General features: G+C 41.0%; 2 annotated features.

Moving 5' to 3' along the window:
* Positions 11,323 to 11,824: an enhancer, noted in NCBI's record as "NANOG hESC enhancer chr11:58419172-58419673 (GRCh37/hg19 assembly coordinates)". NCBI's record gives its function as "activates a minimal SCP1, AML or CMV promoter by ChIP-STARR-seq in primed H9 embryonic stem cells {active_cell/tissue: H9 hESC(primed)}" and the evidence as "EXISTENCE:reporter gene assay evidence [ECO:0000049][PMID:30033119]".
* Positions 12,456 to 13,010: an enhancer, noted in NCBI's record as "NANOG hESC enhancer chr11:58420305-58420859 (GRCh37/hg19 assembly coordinates)". NCBI's record gives its function as "activates a minimal SCP1, AML or CMV promoter by ChIP-STARR-seq in primed H9 embryonic stem cells {active_cell/tissue: H9 hESC(primed)}" and the evidence as "EXISTENCE:reporter gene assay evidence [ECO:0000049][PMID:30033119]".

Genomic DNA, 24,259 nt, shown 5'->3' on the forward strand with positions numbered 1-24,259 from the left:
GTGGGCATTTCATAGCTGTAGATACAAGTGAAAATAATCATGCTTTGGCTGAATGGTGGTGAATCATTTGCTGACAAGGACAAGATACCAACAGGAGGAGGGCAAGGAAAACTCTCTGAGGATGTTTTGTTTTCAGCCCTGGGCAGCATTTGCTGAGCTGGGAGATTAGGAGGCATCATTTGGTGCCCAGTACTCACATCCCCCAATTGTTCAGAGGCAGTGTAAGGACGATGCAGGCAAGACAGTCTTCAGAGTCAGATGCCAAGTCCTCATGTGACCTTAGAAAAGAAGTGTGACTTCCTGTAAAACAGGAACAAACAGGACTTTTTAGCTGTTAACTTAAAAAAATTACAACACATGCTTGTTATGGAAAATTAAAAGTGTAAAGAGGTTATATAAGGTAAAAAATACCTTCTTCATCCAGCTGTGCTTCCCAGAGATAACCACTGTAAATAGGAGGTGTGTCACCTTCCAGACATGTTTCTATGTGTGCACACATGGACCCAGGCACATAGGCACATACTACTTTCTTTTACAAAAATATAATAGTGCCAGGCCATATATACTTTTGCCTATGGAGAAGCTGATTCCCAGAGAAAAGAAGTGATGTGCACAAGGTCACACAAAGACAGATTGGAGCAGAGATGGCCCTGACCCTGTGTCTCTTGCCTGTATTTCCAGACTCAGACCGCCTCCTACCCTGCCTCACTCTCTTGGGCTGTGTGCATTCTAATTGAGCACCATAGGGGATACAAATGCAGACAATTATTCTGGCAGATAGTCAAGGGCAATAGTCAAAATATTTACTACTCTGCAAGTTGCAGCCCCAGCCAATCAGAACTAACATTGGCTGCAAATGACCTTCCTGAGGTTACTGGCTAAATATTGGCCCTGCATGTAGGAGTCTCATTTCACACCCTACATATCTCTCCACGGATGGCTGGGAAGGAATCCATGAATGAATAAATGAGGATGCAAAGTGATCTGAAATAATATCGCAAAGGAAGAAAAACTTCTTTCAATAGAAGTGTAATGTTATCAACTGCAGTGTTATCTGCCTATATATTTTTACAATCAGAGCCCTGTGAAAGGAGAAGAGGCAATAATAGAAAATGAAGGAAATAGAAAGGAGATGTTTATTGGAGTTCAACAGAACTGGACTCGAGATATGGCTCTGCGCTTAGTGGCTCTCAGACCCTGGGCAAGTGACTTAATCTCCTTGACTTTTTTTTTTTTTTTCCTGTAAACATCTGTGAATGTGAGGAGGAGAGGCACAAAAAGTAACTTAACCATGATTATACTAATTAAGGGACAGATAGGCTGAGGGGTCTGAGGGACTTTTAGTCTAGTGGGCTTATAATTTAATGTCAGGGGTAGCCCAGGGATCCTGAATTTTGCCAACAGAAAAATCATGAGATCTATGCAGATTTGGACACAGGACTTTATTTCTCATAAAGGGTTATAGCCTGCCAATGGTCATCCTGACAGGCTGAGAAGTGTACCTTCAACAGAGACCGAAAGGCAGTACTTTGAAGAAGGAGGGGTTGAGGCAGGAGCTTTATGCTACATAGGTTGGCTAAATATACATATTCAACAGGTTACAGGAGAAGCTATGAATATTCACCAAGTGGTTTCTGATGCATGCATACTGAATAAACATGCATGCTACAAATGATCTATGTTCATATTGGAGAGGGTACTTAACATTTAAATTTATTACAATGAGGCTGTCTATATTTCAGAAGATAAAACAGGGACATAAATGTTCTCAAGTGCAAAGCCTCTATAAAACCGACCAGAACCAGTCCATAGTCGGTGGTCTTTTACCAGGAAAGTTACTGAAATCTCTTTCTTGTCTAATCAAAGCTGTAGTTATGGCTTGTGGAACAGGAGGTCGGTTAGTCAGCACATGGTGGTGAATGAGCTGCAGTTATTTTAATATTGCTTTCCTTGAGGCCAGTGCTTGTTGAGCTGCTTAAGAAAGAAAAACCTTGTGGCAGTTAAAACAAAGTTTATTCTTTAAGTGTAGGGGTGCGTGACTTAACCTTTGCCTGACATGGGCGTAGGTCCTGTTTATAATTGGATATCTTACTGCCACAAAGAGTCTGTTCTGTCAGTCATATGATCTCTATTTTAACATTCATGCTGGTCAGTTGGTGTGTCTGTATACAAAAGGGAGAGGATATAACGAGGCTTGTGTGATCTCTTGTCTCCTTATGGCCAGGAACTCCATTTTTAAGGTTTCTCTGAGGTCTCCTTGGCCAAGAGAGAGTCTGTTCAATTGGTTGGGGTGGGTGCTTAAGGTTTAAATTTTAGTTCTCAATCCCATATAGGGTCTTGAGACCTTTCTCATCCTCGATTCAATCTGAGGGCAATTCTGAGTTAAATCTCCAAATAACTTCTATTCTCTCCTTGTGCACCTCATCTCTACCCCAACATACACAGGAGAAGATCACCTGAACAATAAACTTGTAGGTTTAAAGAAACTACTAGGCACCTGGCAATCCCTTGCTTCCTGCAGTCTTCCTGTCTTTCTTGAGATACTTTTTCTTAAGGATTTCTCATGGGTCTGCCTCACTTGACAATGGATATATATACTCTCAGTATTTAGCGTGGAGAAGACCCAGACTCATGAAAGAGATGCAGAGAACTAGCAGGGAGAGACAGAGACAGAGACAGAGAAAAGCCATGACTAGCATCACTAAATTAACCATGTCCTCGAGACTCATAATTCATACCATCGTTATATGTTCTCTAGGTAATTTCTGCAACCTTCCAACAAGTATTCCCATCTCCTGAAGGACAGCTGGGATCATGGCAAACTCTGAGACAAAAACCTGCAGTGGCTCGTTGTTTATAGCATTGGCTCCCAATTAAGCCTGTTAAAAATAGAGGTTTTGGGTTTCAATGTATGGAACTTTAGAAGACGAGTTCTGAGAACTAAAACTATCTACGCCCTACAGAGCTTCTACATCAACGTGACATTACTATAACACTGTCTTCACTAGCATAACTTTACCATTCCAGTGACCGTTACATGGAAAAATGGCTCGATTATTCATTATAGGAATTTCCCAAAATATCCATCAACTCTTCAATGAAAAGTATCAACAGTTTTTACCTTTGAATCTCTTGCCTTGCCTTGCTTTTCCCACCAATCTTAAACTTCCATGTTGTGATTTTTGCCCTTTTCAAATCAAGACCTCCCCACTCTCTCCACGGAGGGAAGTGGCTTAAATGAAACTTAAATTCTCAATAAATTCTAACCTTGCTTTCTGAGATACTGCCAAATCTCTGCTGAAATGGTGTTTTCCCTATCTCATCAACAGTTTGTATTGATGATATTTGCGGAAATGGCATTTGACAGTCCCTAGAAAATTTTGTAGCACAGTTAGATTTGAGAATTCCTTGACAAAATTAAGTCCTAATTCTTGAGTTTAATGTTCAAGGTCGCCAGCAGTCTGACTGTTGCCTTGGTTTCAAATCAAATGTCCAATTAATCTCTTTTCCCTCTCTTTATTACACTTTATGCTTTCAAAACCTACACTATATTTATTTTTTGTTTTCTAATCTTATTTTTTACTGATGCTTTGTGTGTGTGATAACTTCATATATTCAAATAAGCTTTGAAGATCAAATTGGTGCAATTGGGATATCCATTACCTTAAACATTTATTTATGCTAGAAACATTTGAATTATTCTTTTCTCACTATTTTGAAATAAAGAATATATTATTGTATAGTCACCTCTCTGATGTATCAAGCACTGGGTCTTATTTCTTCTATCAAACTGTATATTTGTACCCATTAATCAACCTCTCTTCATTTTCCCTCCCTGCTTGTCTTCCCAACATCTGCTAAACACCAATCCACTCCCTATCATCATGAGATCCACTTTTTTTAGCTCCCACATATGAATAAGAATATGTGGTATTTATCTTTCTATGTTTGACTTATTTCACTTAACATAATGACCTCTAGTTCCATTCGTGTGGCTGCAAATGACAGAATTTTATTCTTTTTCATAGATGAATAATATTCCATTCTATATATATATATATATATATATATATATATATATATATATATATACCACATTTTCTTTATCCATTCATCCATTGATGGGAACTTAGGTTGATTCCATATTTTTGCTATTGTGAATAGCACGGATCTCTAGGGCAGGAGCAAAATGCTGCCAGTCTCTTTGCTAAAGCACAGCAAGAATCACCTTTGTTCCAATTCCCAGTAAGTTCCTCATTTCCATCTGAGACCGTCTCAGCCTGGACTTTGTTGTTTATATCACTATCAGCATTTTGGTCAAAATCATTCAACAAGCCTCTAGGAAGTTCCAAACTTTCCCACATCTTCCTATCTTCTTCTGAGCTCTCCAAACTGTTTCAATCTCTTCCTGTTACCCAGTTCCAAAGTTGCTTTCACATTTTTGGGTATCTTAATAGCAGTACTCCACTTTACCAGTACCAATTTACTGTATTAGTCCATTTTCATACTGCTATGAAGAAATACCAGAGACTGGGTAATTTATAAAGAAAAAGGGGCTTAATAGACTCACAGTTCCATGTGGCTGGGGAGAAATTCAAGCTGGCTTATTCACTATCATGAGACTTATTCACTATCATGAGAACAGCACAGGAAAAACCTGACCCCATAATTTAGTTACTTCTCACTGGGTCCCTCCCATGACACATGGGGATTATGGGAACTACAATTCAAGATGAGACTTGGGTGGGGACACAGCCAAACCATATCATTCCACTGCTGACCCCTTCCAAATCTCATGTCCTCACATTTCAAAACCAATCATGCCTTCTCAACAGTCCCCCGAAGTCTTAACTCATTTCAGCATTGACTCAAAAGTCCACAATCCAGTCTCATCTGAGACAAGGCAAGTCCCTTCCACTTATGAGCCTGTAAAATCAAAAGCAAGTCAGTTACTTTCCAGATACAGTGGGGTACAGGCATTGGGTAAATACACCCATTCCAAATGGGAGAAACTGGACAAAACAAAGGGGCCACAGGCCTCATGCAATTTTGAAATCCAATAGGAGAGTCATTGAAGTTCCAAAATGATCTCCTTTGACTACATGTCTCACATCCAGGTTGCACTGATGTAAGAAATAGGCTCCCATGGTCTTGGGCAGCTCCACCTCTGTGGTTTTGCAGGGTATAGCCCCTGATCCTGGCTGCTTTTACAGGCTGGCATGGAGTGTCTGCAGCTTTTCCAGGTGCACAGCGCAAGCTGTTAGTGGATCTACCATTCTGGGATCTGGAGAAGGATGGTGGTCCTCTTCTCACAGGTCTACTAGGCAGTACTCCAGTAGAGACTCTGTGTGGGGCCTCCAACCCCACATTTACATTCTGCACTGCCCCAGTAGAGGTTCTCCATGAGGGCTCTGCCCCTGTAGCACACCTCTGCCTGGACATCCAGGCATTTTCATACATCCTCTGAAATCTAGGGAGAGGTTCCCAAACCTCAGTTTTTAACTTCTGTGCACCCACAGGGCCAACACCATATGTAAGCTACCAAGGCTTGGGGCTTGCACCCTCTGAAGCAATGGCCAGAGCTGTACATTGGTTTTTTTAGCCACAGATGGGACACAGAGCACCAAGTCCTGAGACTGTACAAAGCAGAAAGGCCCAGGGCTTAGCACACAAGACCATTTTTTCCTCCTAGCTCTCCAGGCCTGTGATGGGAGGGGCTGCCATGAAGACTTCTGACATACCCTGGAGGCATTTTCCCCATTGTCTTGGCAATTAACATTTGGATCCTTGATACTTATGCAAATTTGCAAATTTCTGCAGCCAGCTTGAATTTCTCCTCAGAAAATGAGTTTTTCTTTTCTATCACATTGTCAGGCTGTAAATTTCCCAAACTTTTATGCTCAGCTTCCCTTTAAGACACAAGTTTCAATTTCAAACCATGTCTCTGTGAATGAATAAAACTCAATGCTTTTAAGAATACCCAAGTCACCTCTTGAATGCTTTGCTGCTTAGAAATTTCTTCTTTCTCTGGTGCCTCCTTGATTAGCTTAATAATCAATGTTCTGATTTCTTTTTCTGGCAATTCAGAGATTTCTTCTTGGTTTGGATCCATTGCTGGTGTGCTAGTGTTATATTTTGGGGGTGTTAAAGTACTTTGCTTTTTCATATTACCAGAATTGTTTTTCTGATTCCTTCTTATTTTGGTAGACTGTGTCAGAGGAATGCTATGGGGCTCAAGGATACTCTTCAGATTCTTTTGTCCCAAGGGGGTGATCCCTTGAAGCCCTTCCACTAGGGATGGGGCTTCCTGAGAGGTGGACTGCAGTGATTGTTATTGTTATTCTGGACCTAGCCACCTAGAAGAGCTACTGGGCTTCATGCTGGTACTGGGGAGTGTCTGCAACTTGTCCTGTGATGTGATCTGTCTTCAGGTCTCTCAGCTGTGGATACCAGCACCTGCTCTGGTGGAGGTAGCTGGGGAGCGAGGTGGACTCTGTGTGGGACCTTGATTATAGTTTTATTTAGTGCACTGTTTGTTTGAAATGCTAGTTAATGTAGCAGTGAAGTTGTCACATGGACAGACTCAGGACCTCTGGTTAGCCAGGATGTTACAGGTGATAGAATTAGCTGTTGTTTTCTCCTTTCTTAGAGCAGGGTTGTTCTTTTTTGAGTTTCTGTAATGGCTTGAGTTTGTTGGCCTCCAACCAGGAGGTGGTGCTTTCAAGAGAGCTTCAGCTGCAGTGGTATAGAGAGAATACAAGCTTGCCCTAAGGTATTCAGATTTCTTGGGTGATGGGTGGGGCCACAGAGCTCCCAAAAGATTATGACTTTTGTCTTTAGCTACCATAGTGGTTAGTGAAAGACCATCAGGTGGGGGCAGTGTTAGGCCTGTCTGAGCTCAGACTCTCTTTGGCTGGGGATTGCTGCAGCTGCTGTGGGGGATGAAGGTGTGGTTCTCAGGCCAATGGGGTTATGTTCCCAGGGGGATTATGGCTGCCTCTGCTGCATCATACAGGTCACCAGGGAAATGGGGGAAAGCCAGCAGTGACAGGCCTCACACTGCTTACATGCAGCCAAAAAGGCCAGTCTCACTCCCACCATGCCCTACCAAGAGCACCAAGTTTATATCCAGGCAGCCGGTGAGCATGGCTGAGATCTTGCCCCAGGCTACAAGCCTCCCCACTGAGAAAGCAGATGTGGCTTTCATGCTTTACCCCTTCCCACCTGCTGTGGCTTCTGTACTCATATCTGCACTTCCTATTCACCCCCTATCCCCTAGATTCTGCCCAGGAAAATTCATGTTCGGCTGAAATTATTTCAAAGTTCAGCTGGAAGTTTCCTTCTCACTGTGGTTCTTCCCCAATTCCACTGGCAGCCGTCCCCAAGGACCCCTGTAAGATAAAGTCAGAAATGGCTTCCCTGGGTTTCCTTGGGGGTCAGGAGTGTGTATACAGCTCTTTCCGCTGCTTCTTCTACTTTGATATTTCACTTGGCTCTCTAAATTTGTTTCAGCACTAGATAAAGTTAAACTCTTCTTCCACGATCTGGATTTTCAGGTTCCCCAGTGAGGATATGTGTTCAGAGGTAGACTCTCCCCCTCTCACACTCTGGGCATTCACAATTTTTCAGCTGTCTCATGGTGTTTGCAGCAGCAAGCTTCTTCTTTCAAAGGGTCAGTGAATTCTTTTGGTTTTTCTACTATGCTTCTGTGGTAGTTCTTGAAGCAACTGTTCACAATGTGAGTTTCCACATGCTGTTCTGTCTGTCTAAGTGGGAGCTACAAGTTATTCCTGCCTCCTATCTGCCATTTTTTTTTTCCAATTTGAGTTGGGAATGGTCTTTTAAATGTGTTGTTGAATTTGGTTTGCTGGTATTTTTTCATATCTAAATTCATGAGAGATGTTGGCCTGCAGTGGTCTTTTTGTTGTGTTCTTGTCTGATTTTGGTATCAAGGTAATGCTGGTCTCATAGAATGAGTTCGGAAGTATTCTTTTATCTGTAATTTTTTGAATAGTTTGAGTGAAATGGGTATTACCTTTCTTTAAATGTTTGGTAGAATGCAGCAGTGAAGATACTAGGTCCTGGACTTTTCTTTGATGGGAGACTTTTTATTATGGCTTTGACCTTGTTGCTTGTTACTTGTTGGTAAGTTTAGGTTTTCCATTTCTTCATGATTCAGTCTTGGTAGGTGTATGCATCCATGAATCTATCCATTTATTTTAGGTGTGCCAAAGTTTTGATGTGTATTTGTTCATAATAGTCTGTAATGATTTTTTTTTTGTATTTCTGTGGTCTCAGTGGTTATGTCTCCTTTTTATGTTTGATTTTCTTTATTGGGGGTCTTCTTTCTTTTTTCTTGGTTAGTATAGCTAAAGGTTTGTTTATTTTGTTTACCTTTTCAAAAAACCTACTCTCTGTTTCATTAATCATCTGGATTTATTTAGTTTCAATTTTATTTATTTCTACTCCGATTTTTATTATTTCTTTCCTTCTGCTAATTTTGGGTTTCATTTGTTCTTGCTTTTCTAGTTTCTTGAGGTTCATTATTAGATTGTTTATTTGAATTCTTTCTATTTTTTGTTGTAGATATTTGTTGCTATAAAATTCCCTCTTAGTACTGCTTTTGCTGTATCCCATAGATTTGGGTATGTTGTGTTTCTATTTTCATTTGTTTAAAGATATTTTAAAATTTCTTTCTTAATGTTTTTATTGACCTATTTGTTATTCAGGAATATGTTTAATTTCCATGTGTTTGTGAATTCTTCAAGGTTTCTCTTGTTATTGATTCTAGTGTTATCTCATTGTGGTCAGAAAAGATATTTTGTATGATTTCTACATTTTTTAATTTGTTGATACTTATTTTGTGGCTTCAGATATGGCCTATCCTAGAGAATGCTGCATGTGCTGATGATAATAATGTGCATTTTGCAGCATTTGGGTGAAATGTTCTGTAAATATCAGGCCTACCTATTTGGTCTAGTATGCACTTTAACTTCATTGATTATTTGTTGATTTTCTCTTTGGGTGATCTGTACATTACTGAGAGTGGGGTGTTAAACTCCACTACTATTATTGTATTGCCACTTATCTCTTATTTTAGAATTATTAGTGTTTGATTTAAATAGTCATGAGTGCCTATGTTGAGTGCATACATATTTATAATTGTTATATTCTCTTGCTGGGTTGACCTGTTTATCATTATATAGTGGTCTTCTTTGTCTCTTATTAGTCTTTGACTTGCAGTCTATTTTATCTGACATACATATAGCTACTCATATTCTTTTTTGGTTTCCAGATGCATGAAATATCTTTTTCCACTCCTTCACTTTTAGTCTATGTGAGTCTTTATAGGTGATGTGGGTTTCTTGTAGGCAGCATATAGTTGGTTCTATTTCTTTATTCATTTAGCTACAGTCTGCCTTTTAATTGGAGAATTGAGCCCATTTACATTTAATGTTATTATTGATAAGTAAGGACTTTCTATGGCCTTTTTTCAGGTTTCTTTTCTGGTTGTTTTGAGACTCCTCTCTTCCTGTTTTCTTTCTTTATTGCTTTCCTTTGTGAGTAAGTGATTTTCTCTGGTTGTATGTTTTAATTTGTTGCTTTCTATTTTTAGTAAATTTATTATAGGTATTTGCATGTGGTTACATGAGGCTCACAAAGAATGTCTTATAGATAGATATAACAAGTTATTTTGGGCTGGACATAGTCACTCACACCTGTAATCCCAGCACTTTGGGAGGCCAAAACAAGAGGACTGCTTGAAGCCAGGAGTTTAAGACCAGCCTGGCCAGCAAAGTGACCCCTGTGAGACATTGTCTCTGTAATTTTTTTTAATTAGCCAGGCATGGTGGCATGTGCATGTAGTCCCAGCTATTTGGGAGTGTGAGGCAGGAGAATTGCTTGAGCCCAAGAGGTTAAGACTGTGGTGAGCTATGATTATGCCATTGCAATCCAGCCTGGGTGACAGAGCAAGACTCCCTTTTTTAAAAAAGTATTTTGAAGAGATGACAACTTATTTTAGATTACCAGGAAAAAAAAAACAAATAAAAAGTGAAAGAAAACCTTTACACTTTAACTCCATTGCCACCACATTTTGACTTTGTGTTGTCTCAGTTTACATGTTTTTTTTTGTTTTCCATCTCTTAACTGGTTAACAATGTTAGCTATATCAATAACTATTACTGTTTTTGATAGATTTGTCTTTTGGCTTCATATTAGACTTATGAGTGTATTACACACCACAGTTACAGTAGGAGAGTATTCTGGGTTTGTTTACATACTTATTTTTAGCTGTGAGTTCTTTTTTTTTTTTTTTCTTTTTTTGAGATAGAGACTTGCTCTGTCACCCAGGCTGGAGTGTAGTGGTGCAATCCCAGCTCACTGCAACCTCCACCTCCTCGGTTCAAGTGATTCTGCTGCCTCAGCCTCCCAAGTAGCTGGGATTACAGTCACCTGCCACCATGCTCAGCTAATTTTTGTGTTTTAGTAGAGACAGGGTTTTGCCATGTTGACCAGACTGGTCTCAAACTCCTCTTCTCAAGCAATTCACCCCCTTTAGCCTTCCAAAGTGCTGGGAATACAGGCATGAGCCACCATGCCTGGCCAGCAATGGGTTCTATACCTTCAAATATTTTCTTTTTGTATGTTAGTGTTTTTTCTTTTTCTATTTCTGATTGAAGACCTCCAGTTGGGATTTCTTGCAAGACAGGTCTGGTGGTGGTGAATTATCTCAGCTTTTGTTTGTCCAGGGAAAACTTCATGTCTTCATATTTGAAAGATAGCTATTTTGGATACAGTATTCTTGGATTATAGGTTTTTTTCTTTCAAGACTTTGAAAATATACTACTCTCTTTAGTCCTTCTTTTCTTTGAGAAATCTGTTGCCAGATGAATTGGAGTTCTTTTGTATGACATTTGGATCTTTTCTCTTGCTGCTTTTAGGATCCCCTCTCTCTTTGATCTTTGAGAGTTTTACTATTATATGTCTTGGTGTAGTCTTACTTGGATTGAATCTGTTTGTTTCTCTGATCTTCTTATACCTGGATATTTATATCTTTTTTTTAAGTTTTAGAACATCATCTTTTTGTTATTATTTCTTTGAATATGCTTTCTACCTCTTATTGAATTCCCTTTTAAACTCCAATAATTCTTAGATTTGGTCTTTTAAAATTATTTTGATCTTGTTAAATTTCTCTGATAAATTTCTAAATTATTTTTTGTGTTATCTTGGAGATCTCTGAGTTTCCTTGAAACTGCTATTTTGAATTGTTCATCAGAGTTCACATATCCTCATCTCATTAGGGTTAGTCACTTGTGTTTTGCTTTGTCTGTTTGGGGAGGTCATAGTTCTGTTAGATGTTGTTTCTTGTGGATGTATATCTATGTCTTTGCATTAAAAGATTATTTATTTATTTCAGTCTTCTCTGTTTGGCTTGTTTTGTCTTTTACTATATATGTATGTTTAGAGATTCTTTGTAATTTACCTGTTGATTGTCTTTTCTTTTCTTCTTTCTTTCATTCTTTTGTTTTCTTTCTCTCTCTTTCTTTCTTTTCTGCTAGGTTGTTGTCTCCTTTTCAGCTCTAGATGACAGCTTAAGCCTAGGTCTGCCTCTAAACAATCAGAGTGCCTCCTGTCTGGAATGCGGTGGCCTCAAAGGGGATAATGGGGGAAGGCCAGATAGGCGTTTGTGCCCAGAAGACCTGTGGAACAAACCTCCTATAGCATGGTGCTGCTGAGCAGCCACTCTGATTTGGCATCTCCTTTGGCTGACTTACAGAACAGAGTTTCCAGGGCCGGAGATGATAGTCTCACCTCCCCCATTTGTCTCTGGCTGTCCTCTGAGATATGTTTTCCTTTAGGCATTTCCAATGATTCTCTTGGGTTGAGGCAGAGACCTGTTTCCTATCAGGAAACCCAAGATGATGGGGAAGCTGTTTGTCAACCTTGATCTCACTTTTACAGTGCAGAAACTGTGATTTGAGGAGAAACTTTTCACATACTTGGTGTTGAGCAGATTTCAGGGAGCAACATTGCTGATATGGATATCTGATTCTCTTACTGTCTGCTCAGAGCTTTTTCTGAGCATCTCTCTGTGGCTCTGGGAACTATCTTCTCCTCATATTTGAGTTCTGGGACATTACTGGTGATAATCTTGGTGCTGTATTTTTTTTTCTGGTTTTCTAGGACAATGGGAGGTAAAACTAACTTGCTTCTATGCCACCATTTTGGAACCAGAAGTTACAAACTCTACACTTTTCACTAGCCTGTATTCTTGTATTTTATCAGCTTCATGCTTTTATTCATGCTTTAGGCTGTGCTAATCCTCCTACATCTCAGCATCTTTTTCTTACCTGTGTTGTAACTGGTCTCCAAAGGCAGTTCCAAATTAACCACCCACCCCAGGATTCATCCCACTTGGAAGTCCTGTTCTACAGTGAATCTGTGCTGGCCCTGTGACTCACTTTAATTAAATATTGCAGACATGAAGCTGTCCCTACACCTAGAAGGCCTGGGTGCTTTCATATCTAGGAACCCAAGCCAACCAGCTATTCTAGCTCTGTCAGCATCCTGGCTCAGCCTTTATGCTATTTTCATGTAAGTGCTAGATATGTAGCTGAACCATGTTGGACAGTCAGGCCTAACTGAGCTCCTGGCCAGCATACCAGGGAACACAAGTGGTGTCCTGCTGAGCCCATTGAAACCACAGAATAGTGAGGGAAAAAGGACTGTTGTTTTAGACCACCCGGTTTTGTGGTGGTTTGTTATGTAGCAATAGAAAACCAAACACCACTTTCAAGGCCTTTCTCAAAAGCCACTCCTTTAGTAGGCGTGTCACTATCCCACTACTGTCCCATTCCACAGCTGGAAGTGGGAATCACATAGTTCCATAGTGTAGTCAAACAGAAGATATTTAGCTTCCTGAGTGGAGCCTTCCAACTTGTCTTTGCCTCCCTAAAGTGTATTTCATAAATTCAGCATGTTTTATAATCAGTGGGCCTTTTTAGGTGAGACCAGCAATTTAGGAAAAACTGTTAAGGGGTAGAAAAATTTGTGGTATACAATTACCCCCAGCAGATCAAATGTGCTTCCTACAGAGATAAAACTACTATCCAGAGAGGGGATCATAGCTTTTGATTTTGAAAGTTAGCCAGTTTACAGCTTATCTACTAGAGACAGGGATAACTACCATATTAAGGAAATATAGAGGTATAACCCCAAGAGCATGTATAAAGAAAAACGTGGAGGGAGATGATATGGTTTGGCTCTGTGTCCCCACCCAAATCTCATCTCAAATTGTAATCCTCAGGTGTTGAGGGAGGCACCTAGTGGGAAGTGATTGGACTATGGGGGCGGTTTCCCCCATGCTGTTCTCATGATAGTGAGTGAATTCTTACATCTGGTGGTTCTAAAAAGTGTTTAGCAGTTTCCCCCACACTCTTCTGTCTCTCTCCCGACACCATGTAAGATGTGCCTTGCTTCCCCTTTACCTTTCGCCATGAGTGTAAGTTTCCTGAGGCCTCCTCAGCCATGCAGAAGTGTGAGTCAATTAAATCTCTTTTCTTCATCAATTACCTGGTCTCATGTAGTATCTTTATAGCAGTGTGAGAATGGACTGATACAGAGGACATGACATTCGAACTTCTTGGTTTATAGTGCAGGCTTTTCACTAAATTGTTACCCATGACCATACTTTCTGCCTGTTTTAAAAGCCAATAAAATACAAGTCTTCTTTAGTGATGAGCAGTTGATTTTATTCTGGAAGCCTGGAACTCCTCGCTGTGTCAGCATCACCGACCAGCAGAGGGCGGTGCAGATGCAGAGGCACACATCTCCCTGCAAGTGAGAAACGCTGTGAGGAGTGTAATTTGCTGGCAGCGCCCAGGGGCTGCCCACGTGGGATGGCACTTGGGCCAAGTCTGTACTCTCCCCATGCTTCCTCTAGGGGACTGAAGGGGTCTTTCTTAGAAAGATCTTGCAGCTAAAACTTGAAGAATGAACAGAACTTACACAGACTAAGAGAGATAGCAAAATGTTCTAGCAAAGGAATTATTCATAAGCCAGACTACAAGCAGAATGTCACTCCTCTCCCTTGGTTACCAAGGAACTGTGCTCCTAGCGGATCCACCTCCTTTCCACGAATGGTCCTAAATGTGACCTCACCTTGAATCTGAAAATGCTGCTTCTGGTTGATGGGCCCTGTAAATCCTCTGGGTTCTTACCCAGGTAAGTGTTGGTGTCGTGATCAAAGTCATCTGTCGTCTTCTGGAGGGGTTGGGGAAAAAAAAGTGTTGGACTTTGAACACTGGAGAACCTACGTGGACAGAAAACCTGTTCCTCTATTTTGGCATAAATATCACTGGGGAATGAACTCAGGTCCCAAAAGAGAGCAGTCACTTCCACACATTCTTGTGGCCAGATGACAGTTGTGTTAAAATTAAGCAACCTGTCCACCAGCACCTGGAGCTAGAATGCTTCCTCTGGTTTATGTGGAAGAGAAACCTATAGCAGCTCGAATAGGGAAAGTCAGAACACTGGGAGAGGGCACCAGATCATTGTATGGGTGCGGATAAATCTTGACATAAATTCATAGGCTCTCAGGGATGGCAGGGTTGGGGTCTGTATACAGCATGTTCACTAAGTGGTATCTGCTTGAACAGCTATAGTTACAGAGAACTCACCACCTTCAAAGGCAACCCAGTCTGCCCTTGATCTTCTCTGACTAATAGAAAGGTTTGCTTTCTGCTTAGTAGAAATGGATCTCCCTGGTGATCTCATGTTTCATTCTCAGTTTTGGCCATAGTGAACAATTCTACCTTTTATTTTCACCTGACAGAGCTTCAAGTTGTTGAGTAATATTCAACCAATTATTGCTATACAATAATTGTTATTATACTTCAAACAGCCCATTCTATGTCAAATACTGTGCTAGACATTTAAGATATTATACAGTTTAATCTTTAAAACCACCTGTTGATGCAGGTCCTATTCTCATTTTAGAGTTGATGAAACTGAGGCTGAGAGGCAATAAGTAACTTGCTAGTAAGTCATAGAGTTGGGGTCCCATCCAGACTGGTGCCACTTCAGCCCTCATGTTCTCTACTCTCATGCTTCACATTTACAATCTAAGATGATTAAAGAGCTGAGAAAGGGGTGTGGAGGGAAAAGATTGGTGAAAGGAAAACATACATCCTAAGATGTTTCGTATGTTGGAGAGAATGTGATGTTTTAAAAGAAATGATTGTATTGTTTATAGCTGAACTTGACTTTCTTTAGGTCTAGGATGAAGAAGCTACTGGATTTGGAAGTGGGTGGTACAGGAAGTGGTTCATTGCCATGTGGGACCTGCGCTCCTGGCCATTCTGCAGGTAGCACAATGGTTACAAGTGCAGCCCTGGAGTCAGACTGTGGGGTTTGAATCCTGGCTTTGCTACTCACTTATTAACCATAAGTCCTTGGGCAGCTTGTTTAATTTTATTTTGCTTCAATTCCCTAATCTTTAAAATGGGAACGTGATAGTACTTCCTGTTGTAAGCATTAAATGAGATAAAACATTTAAAATGATATCTGGCACATGGTAAGTGTACCATAAATGCCAGCAATTATTATTGTTTCTGCCCCAAGTTAGTGGCAAAGCAAGGTAGGTTTGGAAACTCTAATTCAGTGCTATTTATTTATTTATTTATTTAGAGACTGAGTCTCACTCTATTGCCCTGGCTGGATTGCAGTGGCACAATCTTGGCTCACTGCAACCTCCACTTCCTGGGTTCAAGTGATTCTCTTGCTTCAGCCTCCCTAGTAGCTAGGATTACCTCCCGCCACCATGTCTGGCTAATTTTTGTATTTTTAGTAGAGACAGGGTTTCACCATGTTGGACAGGCTGGTCTCGAACTCCTGACCTCAAGTGATCCCCCTGCCTTGGCCTCCCAAAGTGCTGGGATTACAGGTGTGAGCCACAGCACCTGGCCTTTTTTCTTCTCTATCTTTGGTAGGCAAATAGATACATTGCACAAAGTATTGTTTGTTTCAGCTGCCATATTCTGATATTTTGAAAAGCATTTAATTGTGGTTAAAAAACACAGAGAAGTTAGCATCTTAACCAGTTTTAAGGGTACCTTGCTATAGTGTTAAGCATGTTCACATTGTTGTGCAATCTCCAGAGCACTTTCCATTTTGCAAAACTGAAATTCCATACCTGTTAAGCAACAACACCGCATTCCCTCCCTCCAGCCCCCGGCAACAAATATTCTACTTTCTGTCCCTATGGATTTGACTACTCTAGGTAGCTCATATAAGTGGAATCACACAGTACTTGTCTTTTTGTGATTGACTTATTTCAGTTAGCATAGTGGCCTCAAGGTTCATCCATGCTGAAGCATAGGTCAGAATTTGCTTCCATTTCAAGGCTAAATCATTTTTGTATGTAGATACTACATTTTGTTTAGCCATTCATCCATCTATGGACACTTGGATTGCTTCCAGTTTTGGCTACTGAGAATAATGCTGCCATGAATATGAGTGTATAAGTATCTTCTTGATACTCTGCTTTTTATTCTTGGGGGTTTATACCCAGAAGTGGAGTTGCTGGGCCATGTGGTAGTTCTATTTTTAATTTCTTGAGGAGCCTCTGTACTGTTTTCCTTAGTGGCTGCATCATTTCACATTCCCATTAACAGTGCACAAGGGTTTCCATTTCTCTACATTCTCACCAATACTTCTTTTCTGTTGTTTTGTTTTTCAATAGTAACCATCTTATTGGGTGTGAGATGGTATCTCATTGTAGTTTTGATCTGCATTTCCCTGATGATTAGTGATGTTAAGCATCTTTTCGTGTGCTTATTGGTCGTTTGAGAACAAAGAAGATATACAAATAACCAATAAGTACATAAAAAAATGGGTTCTTTGTCTATTTTTAAAGTCAGGTTGTTTTGTTTTTTGGTAGTAAGCGTTTAAATATTCTGAATATTAACCCATTATTAGATACGTGATTTGAAAATATTTTCTCCCATTTTGTGGGTTGTCTTTTCACTATCGATTGTGTCTGTTGATGCATAGAACTTAAAATTTTTGATATAGTCCAATTTGTTTTGTTTTGTTGTTGATGTTGCCTGTGCTTCAACTATCATTTCCAAGAAATCATCACCAAATTTAATGGCATGAACTGAGTCTAGTGTTTTTATCCTCAAATGTGGAGGTAGGTTCCATTGGGCATGAGAAACAACAACTTAAGCTTCAGAAACCCTTGACAGGTTGCAAAGTGCTTTTACCCACATTGGATTATTTAAACTTCAAAGCAACAATCAGTTCATGAATGATGAAACAGAGACCCAAGGAACCTAAGTGAGAGTTACTAAAAAATACCCAGGGGAAAAGCGTTGGGCAGAGTTATTGTTTAGGATTATTAATCAATGGTGGACCTGGGCCTGTAGTCCAATATTCAAAGTTGTTTCAATATCATACACGAGTTTTGGGAGCCTCTTAAATCTGCAAATTGAAATCAAGCTGAAAGTATCCAGAAATACAGGCCCCCCTTGCACACACACATTCATGGTAGCTTCAGATTATACTCCGGGTAGACTCAAAAAGGTGTTCAACTCCTGGGTCTTCTCCAGAGTCGGCAGTACGTGAAAGTGGGATAATGAGCAGCACAGCTGGATTCTTGTCCAAGAGGAGACCCAGAAAGAGCAAGAAACACTTTGGGCACATAGTGTTTAAAGAACTCAGAAGAGATAGACTGAATTATGGCCATACACTATGGCAAGGATAGATTGTTCCTAAATATTGATTTACCTCTTGGTGGCTTCCAATCCGCAATGGGCAGTTGTGGATCTCATTTTGTGACAGCAGATATGTAATCTTGTCAGGCTATTTGGTAGTGGAGCAAATAAACTTAAATAGAAGAGATTTCCCTCTCTGTAAGAGCCTCACAGAAGCCTACGCGTGATATTTGGGAGGAGGGGGTCTTACAACAGTGTCTTGACAAATGTGCCGATACATGAAATTTGATAGTATGCCTGTCAAGCACACTCTTCACTTGGGCAGGCTGGCAAACTGTCTTGGGAGTTCAGCTTCTGATGTGTCCCTTTGGGATGGAAAGGGGAGCCATGGCCTATTATCTTAACATAGGGAGCCAGCTTGTTTGTTTACCATGTGATTTGCCTTTCTTCTCAGGTCTCAGTTGCCTGGTAGAGGACCTGAAGGCTTGAAGAGCTGCAAACTGCACATAAACCCTCTTGCTGTTCACAATTACTCTGCAGGTGCAGGAGGAGAGAGGGTAGCTCATCAGAGCCATCTCCCAGAGCATCCACCTCTGACCCTACCAGAGTGCAAGAAACTTGCCATGACATGTTGAAAATGAGCTGGAGTACGATGTCATGTGCCTAGCCACAGAATATGCTCTGGGATAATCCTTCAGGCCTGCCTCTCAGGAGGTTAATCTCATGCAGGGTCAGGCTTGGTATATGTAACTCCACCCTGTGTTGCCCCTTGTGGTTGGTAGCATTGCGTTTTGTCATCTTTTGCCTGAAATCCAGCCACTGGACAAGCACCAGACAGTATGAATTATTAGAAAAAGCATTGCAGGCATCTTTTTCCCAGGTGACCAAATATGCTGTCTGGATTGCATGATCAAACGTACTGTGAGCAGGAAGTCAGGAGTAGGCTAATGATGCTCTCATCTTCTGTCTCCTGAAATGGGGGTTCTTTGATAACCTGTGTTTAAATAGGCTGTGAAATTTGGTGTAGACATCTACACTCAGAGATAGTGGGGTATAAGCAAGCATCCTTCCTTCTCTTTGTCTCTCCAACATTTCTGTAAATTCTCTACTCTTCACACTTCTTTACATTTATATTCTGCCAACCATCATAGATGTTAGTAACAAAAAGGAATAAAAGGATCAACAAACAAGAGAACACAAGAGACTAGTTATACAAGGTACGGCAGGATTAAAACTAGGAACTGGTGCAAAAAAGAGAATAGATTAAATAGATGATATTCAAAGCAGAAGCATCTGAACACAAGAGGAGAAAAACAATTTTCATAAGAGCAAAGTTTAAAAGTAATTCACTAAAAATAAGATTGTTTGAAAAAACATAACATCAGGAAAATAAAAAGAATATTTATTCATAATAATAGTTATTATTCCTCATAAGGAAAGCTCACCTGAGACTTGGTGTCTAGTTTTTATTGGGGGTGACTCATCGAGGCATGGAGTCATATATTGACCTTAGCTACTTAGTCACCAGCCCTATACCCCACCCCAGAGGTCAAATTGAATACAGTGAGGCCCAAGGCCCCAGGTGAATGGAATGAAAACAGGTGTATTCCAAAGGCTCACAGGTTATTTACGAGAGTTGTTTATCACAGGCCAGTCTTTTCTTAGAAAAATGCAGGATTTGAGCAGCCCAGGCCTGCTGAGTTATGCTTGCTCCCAGGTGTGTTTAAGATGAAAGTAAAATATATAAAATGAAAAGGCAAAAGTGTAAGGCCACTAAGGTTAAAATCACCCAAAAATGATTGAAAGAAAAAAAGAAATTGCAGCCAATTATTAATCAGACTTGAAGTCTGTAAGGCGTTTACTGAGAAATTCCTTAGAGTAAGGTTTCCTGCTGAAGCAACAAGCTGTCTTTCTTCCTGAAGCAGGGCTTGGCAGAGAGCTGTGAAATACCCTGTGGTTTGCCAGGCTCTTCATCTCATGCTCTGATTATATGTATTTTCCTGCAGGGAGTTCTACGGGGCAGAATCAGCTATAGCTTCCCCAGCAGCATCTATAGAGTAGGTCCCACCCACTGCACAGTGAGGCTGCTGGGGCACTTACAGCAGGAGAATCTGCAGCACTTCTGAACCAAGTCTGCAGAGGGGATGGCTCAACTGGAGAATCAGCCATATATAAGGAGTAGCTGAGCAATTAGAGGGAACTAGACTAAGAAGTAGATTGGGATCTTTGTCCTCAACTGGGCAAAGATTGAAAACAGAGTCCAGCCCTTAGATAAAGTATAGATGACAGTGGAAGAGAAGAATGCGAGAGGGTCAGATTCTAACCAGGCAAGGAATGTGACTTGAATCCTCATTCCACCTTTGGCCTGACATTTAATCAGGTCATTCATCGGACATTCAGATCCATCTCAATGACATCTTGTTATCACATAAGGAGGCCGACAAGGAGTAGGGGAGTCTCTCCTGATCACCTTTGTTTAATTTCAGATTGAATATTTTATAAACAAACTGAAACTTATGCCTGAAGAATGTGTGTGAAGCATAAAAAGATAGGTTTAGCAGACCAAGGGCAGATATTTAACTTAAGAGTAATTGATGCTTTGGGCTGGGCGCGGTGGCTCACGCCTGTAATCCCAGCACTTTGGGAGGCCGAGGCGGGTGGATCACGAGGTCAGGAGATCCAGACCATCCTGGCTAACACGGTGAAACCCCCTCTCTACTAAATATACAGAAAATTAGCCGGGCATAGTGGCGGGCGCCTGTATTCCCAGCTACTCGGGAGGCTGAGGCAGGAGAATGGCGTGAACCCAGGGGGCGGAGTTTGCAGTAAGCTGAGATCGTGCCACTGCACTCCAGTCTGGGCGACAGAGCGAGACTCCATCTCAGACAAAAAAAAAAAAAAAATAAGAAGAAGAATAACTGATGCTTTGAAAGAAGATTGACCGAAGGATACAGGTGTGCAAGCAGAGACATCCTTCTGTATAACTGGCAAAATTAACAAAAGTGACCGACATCTAGTTATTTCCTACTGGACATTTTGAGTTTTAAGGATAAAACTATTCTCAAAGTATCCAGGCAGATTAGCTACAAAAGGGCAAAAGCATCAGGCGTCTTTGGATGTTTCTTCCTCGGCACCATTAGAAGTGAAGGAAGCTATCTGCAACATTTTGAGGGGAAAGTGTTACCAATAAAGGGTCCTGACTGCAAGTTGTCCAGGTTCTTGGTGTTTTGAACAAAGAATTGGACAAAACACACAGCAAAGTAAGGAAAGAATGAAGCAATGAAAGAACAAAAGCAGGAATTTATTGAAAATGAAAGTACTCTCCACAGTGTGGGAAAGGGCCCAAGGAGCAGCTCAAGTGCCCGGGATACAGAATCTTCTTGGGTTCAAATACCCCCTAGAGGTCTCCCATTGGCCACTTGGTGCTCACCTCATGTAAATGAAGTGGTGGCCTGGAATCAGGCTAATTGGTTGTGGAAAGCAACCAATCACACATTGAAGTAAAGTTACAAAGATCACACTCCTATGCAAACATCTGATTGGTTGCAGAAAGCACTGCAGTATTACGAATGGATATTATGAACCATATCACAGGACAGTGGACACTCCCCGTGATATGGGGAGTAATATCAACCCCTCTCCCACCCCCGGATATCACGAACGATATCACAGGGGGGTGGACACACTGGGTATTCACGATATTTCGAGTAATATTATCTTTCCTGTTGAAAATTATGATCAATATGACAGAAGAGTGTACACCTCCTGCCATATCGGGAGTAATATCATCCTCTCCCCCACTGGATACTGGGAACAATATCACAGGGGCGTGTACTCTCCCTTTGATATTGGAAGAAATATCATACTCATTTCCCGGATATTAAGAACAATATCACAGGGGAGGCGTACACTTTTACGATATTGGGAGTAATATCATTCTCTCTACCCCTGGATATTAGCAACAATATCACAGGCGGATGTACATTTCCTGCGATATTGAAGGTAGTATTATTGTCTCCCCCCCTGGATATTAGAAACAATACCACAGGGGTAATGTACACCCATTGCGATATTGGGAGTAATACCATCCTCTCCCTTCTTGGATATTAGTAACAATATAATAGTGGGGGTGTACACCCCTCGCGATATTGAATGTAATGTCATCCTCTCCCTCCCTGAATATTACGAAAAATATCACAGGGGGTGTACAACTTCTGCGATATCGGGAGTAATATCATCCTCTCCCCCCTGGATATTAGGAACAATATCACAAGGGTGGTGTACACCCTCTGCAATTTCGGGACTAATATCATCCTCTTACCCCCAGAATATTAAAAACAATATCACAGGGGGTGGTGTACACACCCTTTGATATTGGGAGTAATATCATCCCCTCCCTCTTTGGATATTAGGTACAATATTACAGGTTGGGTATACACCACCTGCAATATTGGAAGTAATATTATTTTCTCCCCTCCTGGATGTTAGCAACAATATCACAGGGGGTGTGTACAATCCCTGCGATATTTGAAGTAATATCATCCTCTCCCCATTTGGATATTAAGAACAATATCACGGAGGGGTGTACAACACATGCAGTATTGAAGGTCATATTATCTTCTCCAGCTTTGGATATTAGGATCAACATCACAGGTGGGGTATACACCACCAGTGATATTGGAAGTAATATTATTCTCTTTTTTCCTTGATATTAGCAAACAATAACACAGAGGGTGTGTACAACCCCTGCCATATTTGGAGTAATATCATCCCTCGCCCCATGGACATGAGAAACTATATCACAGGGGACTTGTACATTCCATGGAATATTGGGAGTGATATCATTCTTCCCCACCCTGTATATTAGGAACAATATCACAGGGTGAATGTTCACCCCCTGTGATATTGGGAGTTATATCATTCTCTCCCCTGCCCAGGATATTACGAACAATATCACAGGGTGGGTGTACACTTTTTGCGATATTGAGAGTAATATCATGTTCTTGTCCTCTGGATATTAGGAACAATATCACAAAGGTGGTGTATACCCGCTGAGATATTGGGAGTAATATCATCCTACCCCTCCTTTAATATTAGGAACAAAATCACAGGGGTTTGTACACCTGCTGTGATATTGGGAGTAATATCTTCAACTCTCCCCCTGGATATTAGGAACAATATCACAGGGTAGGTGTACACTTTCTGCGACCTTGGGAGTAATATCAGCCCCTTCCCCTTTGGATATTAGAATCAATATCACAGAGGGGGTGTATCCGCCAGCGATATTGGGAGTAATATCATCCTCTCTTGCAATGGATATTAGAAACAATATCACAGGAAGTGTGTACACCCTCTGCCGTATTGAAAGTGATATCATTCCCTCGCACCAGCGTATTAGGAACTAAATCACAGAAAGGGCGTACACTCCCTGCGATATTGTGAGTAATATCATCTTCTTCTTCTCTGGAATTTAGGAACAAGATCACAGGGTGGGTGTACACTTGCTGTCATATATAGGGAGTCATATTATCCTCTCTCCCTTTGGATATTAGGATCAATATCACAGGTGGGGTATATACCACCAGCGATATTGGAAGTAATATTATTCTCTTTTCTCCTTGATATGAGCAACAATATCGCAAGGGGTGTGTACAACCCCTGCGATATTAGGAACAATATCACAGAAGGGACGTACTCTTCCTGTGATATAGGGAGTAGTATCATCCTCTTCTTCCCTGGATAATATTAACAATATCACAGGAGGGATGCATACCTTCTGCGATATTGGGAGTAATATTATCCTCTCCCGCCCTGAATATTAGGAAAAATATCACAGGGGATATACATTTCTGTGATATTGGGAGTAATATCATCCTCTCAACCCAGGGAATTACGAACAAGATCACAGGGCTGGTGCACACCCCTGTGATTATGGGAGCAATATCATCCTCCCCCAACCTGGATATTAGCAACAAGATCACAGAGGGGGTGTACACACCCTGCGATATTGGAAGTAATAAGATCCTCTCTCCCCCTGGATATTAGGAAAAATATCATAGCGTGGGTGTACATTTCCTATGCTGTTGGGAGTAATATCATTCTTTTCCTCTCTGGATATTAGGAACAATATCACAGGGGTGGTTTACATTTCCTCCGATATTGGGAGTAATATCATCCTCTCCCCGTTTGGATATTAGGAACAATATCCCAGGGGGGTGTCCACTTTCTGCGATATTGGGGGTAATATCATCCACTATTTCCCTGGATATTAGAAACAATATCACAAAAAGATGTACACCCCCCGTGATATTGGGAGTAATATCATACTCTTCTTGCCCGGATATTAGAAACAATACCATGGGGGGGGTGAACACCCCCTGCGATACTGGGAGTAATATCATTCTCTACCCCCCAGAATATTAGCAACAATATCACAGGAGGGGGTGTACACCCCCTGTGATATTGGGAATAATATCATTCTCTTCACCCCTGGATATTAAGAAGAATATCACAGGAAGGGTGTACATCCCCAGTGATATTGG

This window comes from Homo sapiens, chromosome 11, assembly GCF_000001405.40.
Source record: "Homo sapiens chromosome 11, GRCh38.p14 Primary Assembly".
Lineage (NCBI taxonomy): Eukaryota > Metazoa > Chordata > Mammalia > Primates > Hominidae > Homo > Homo sapiens.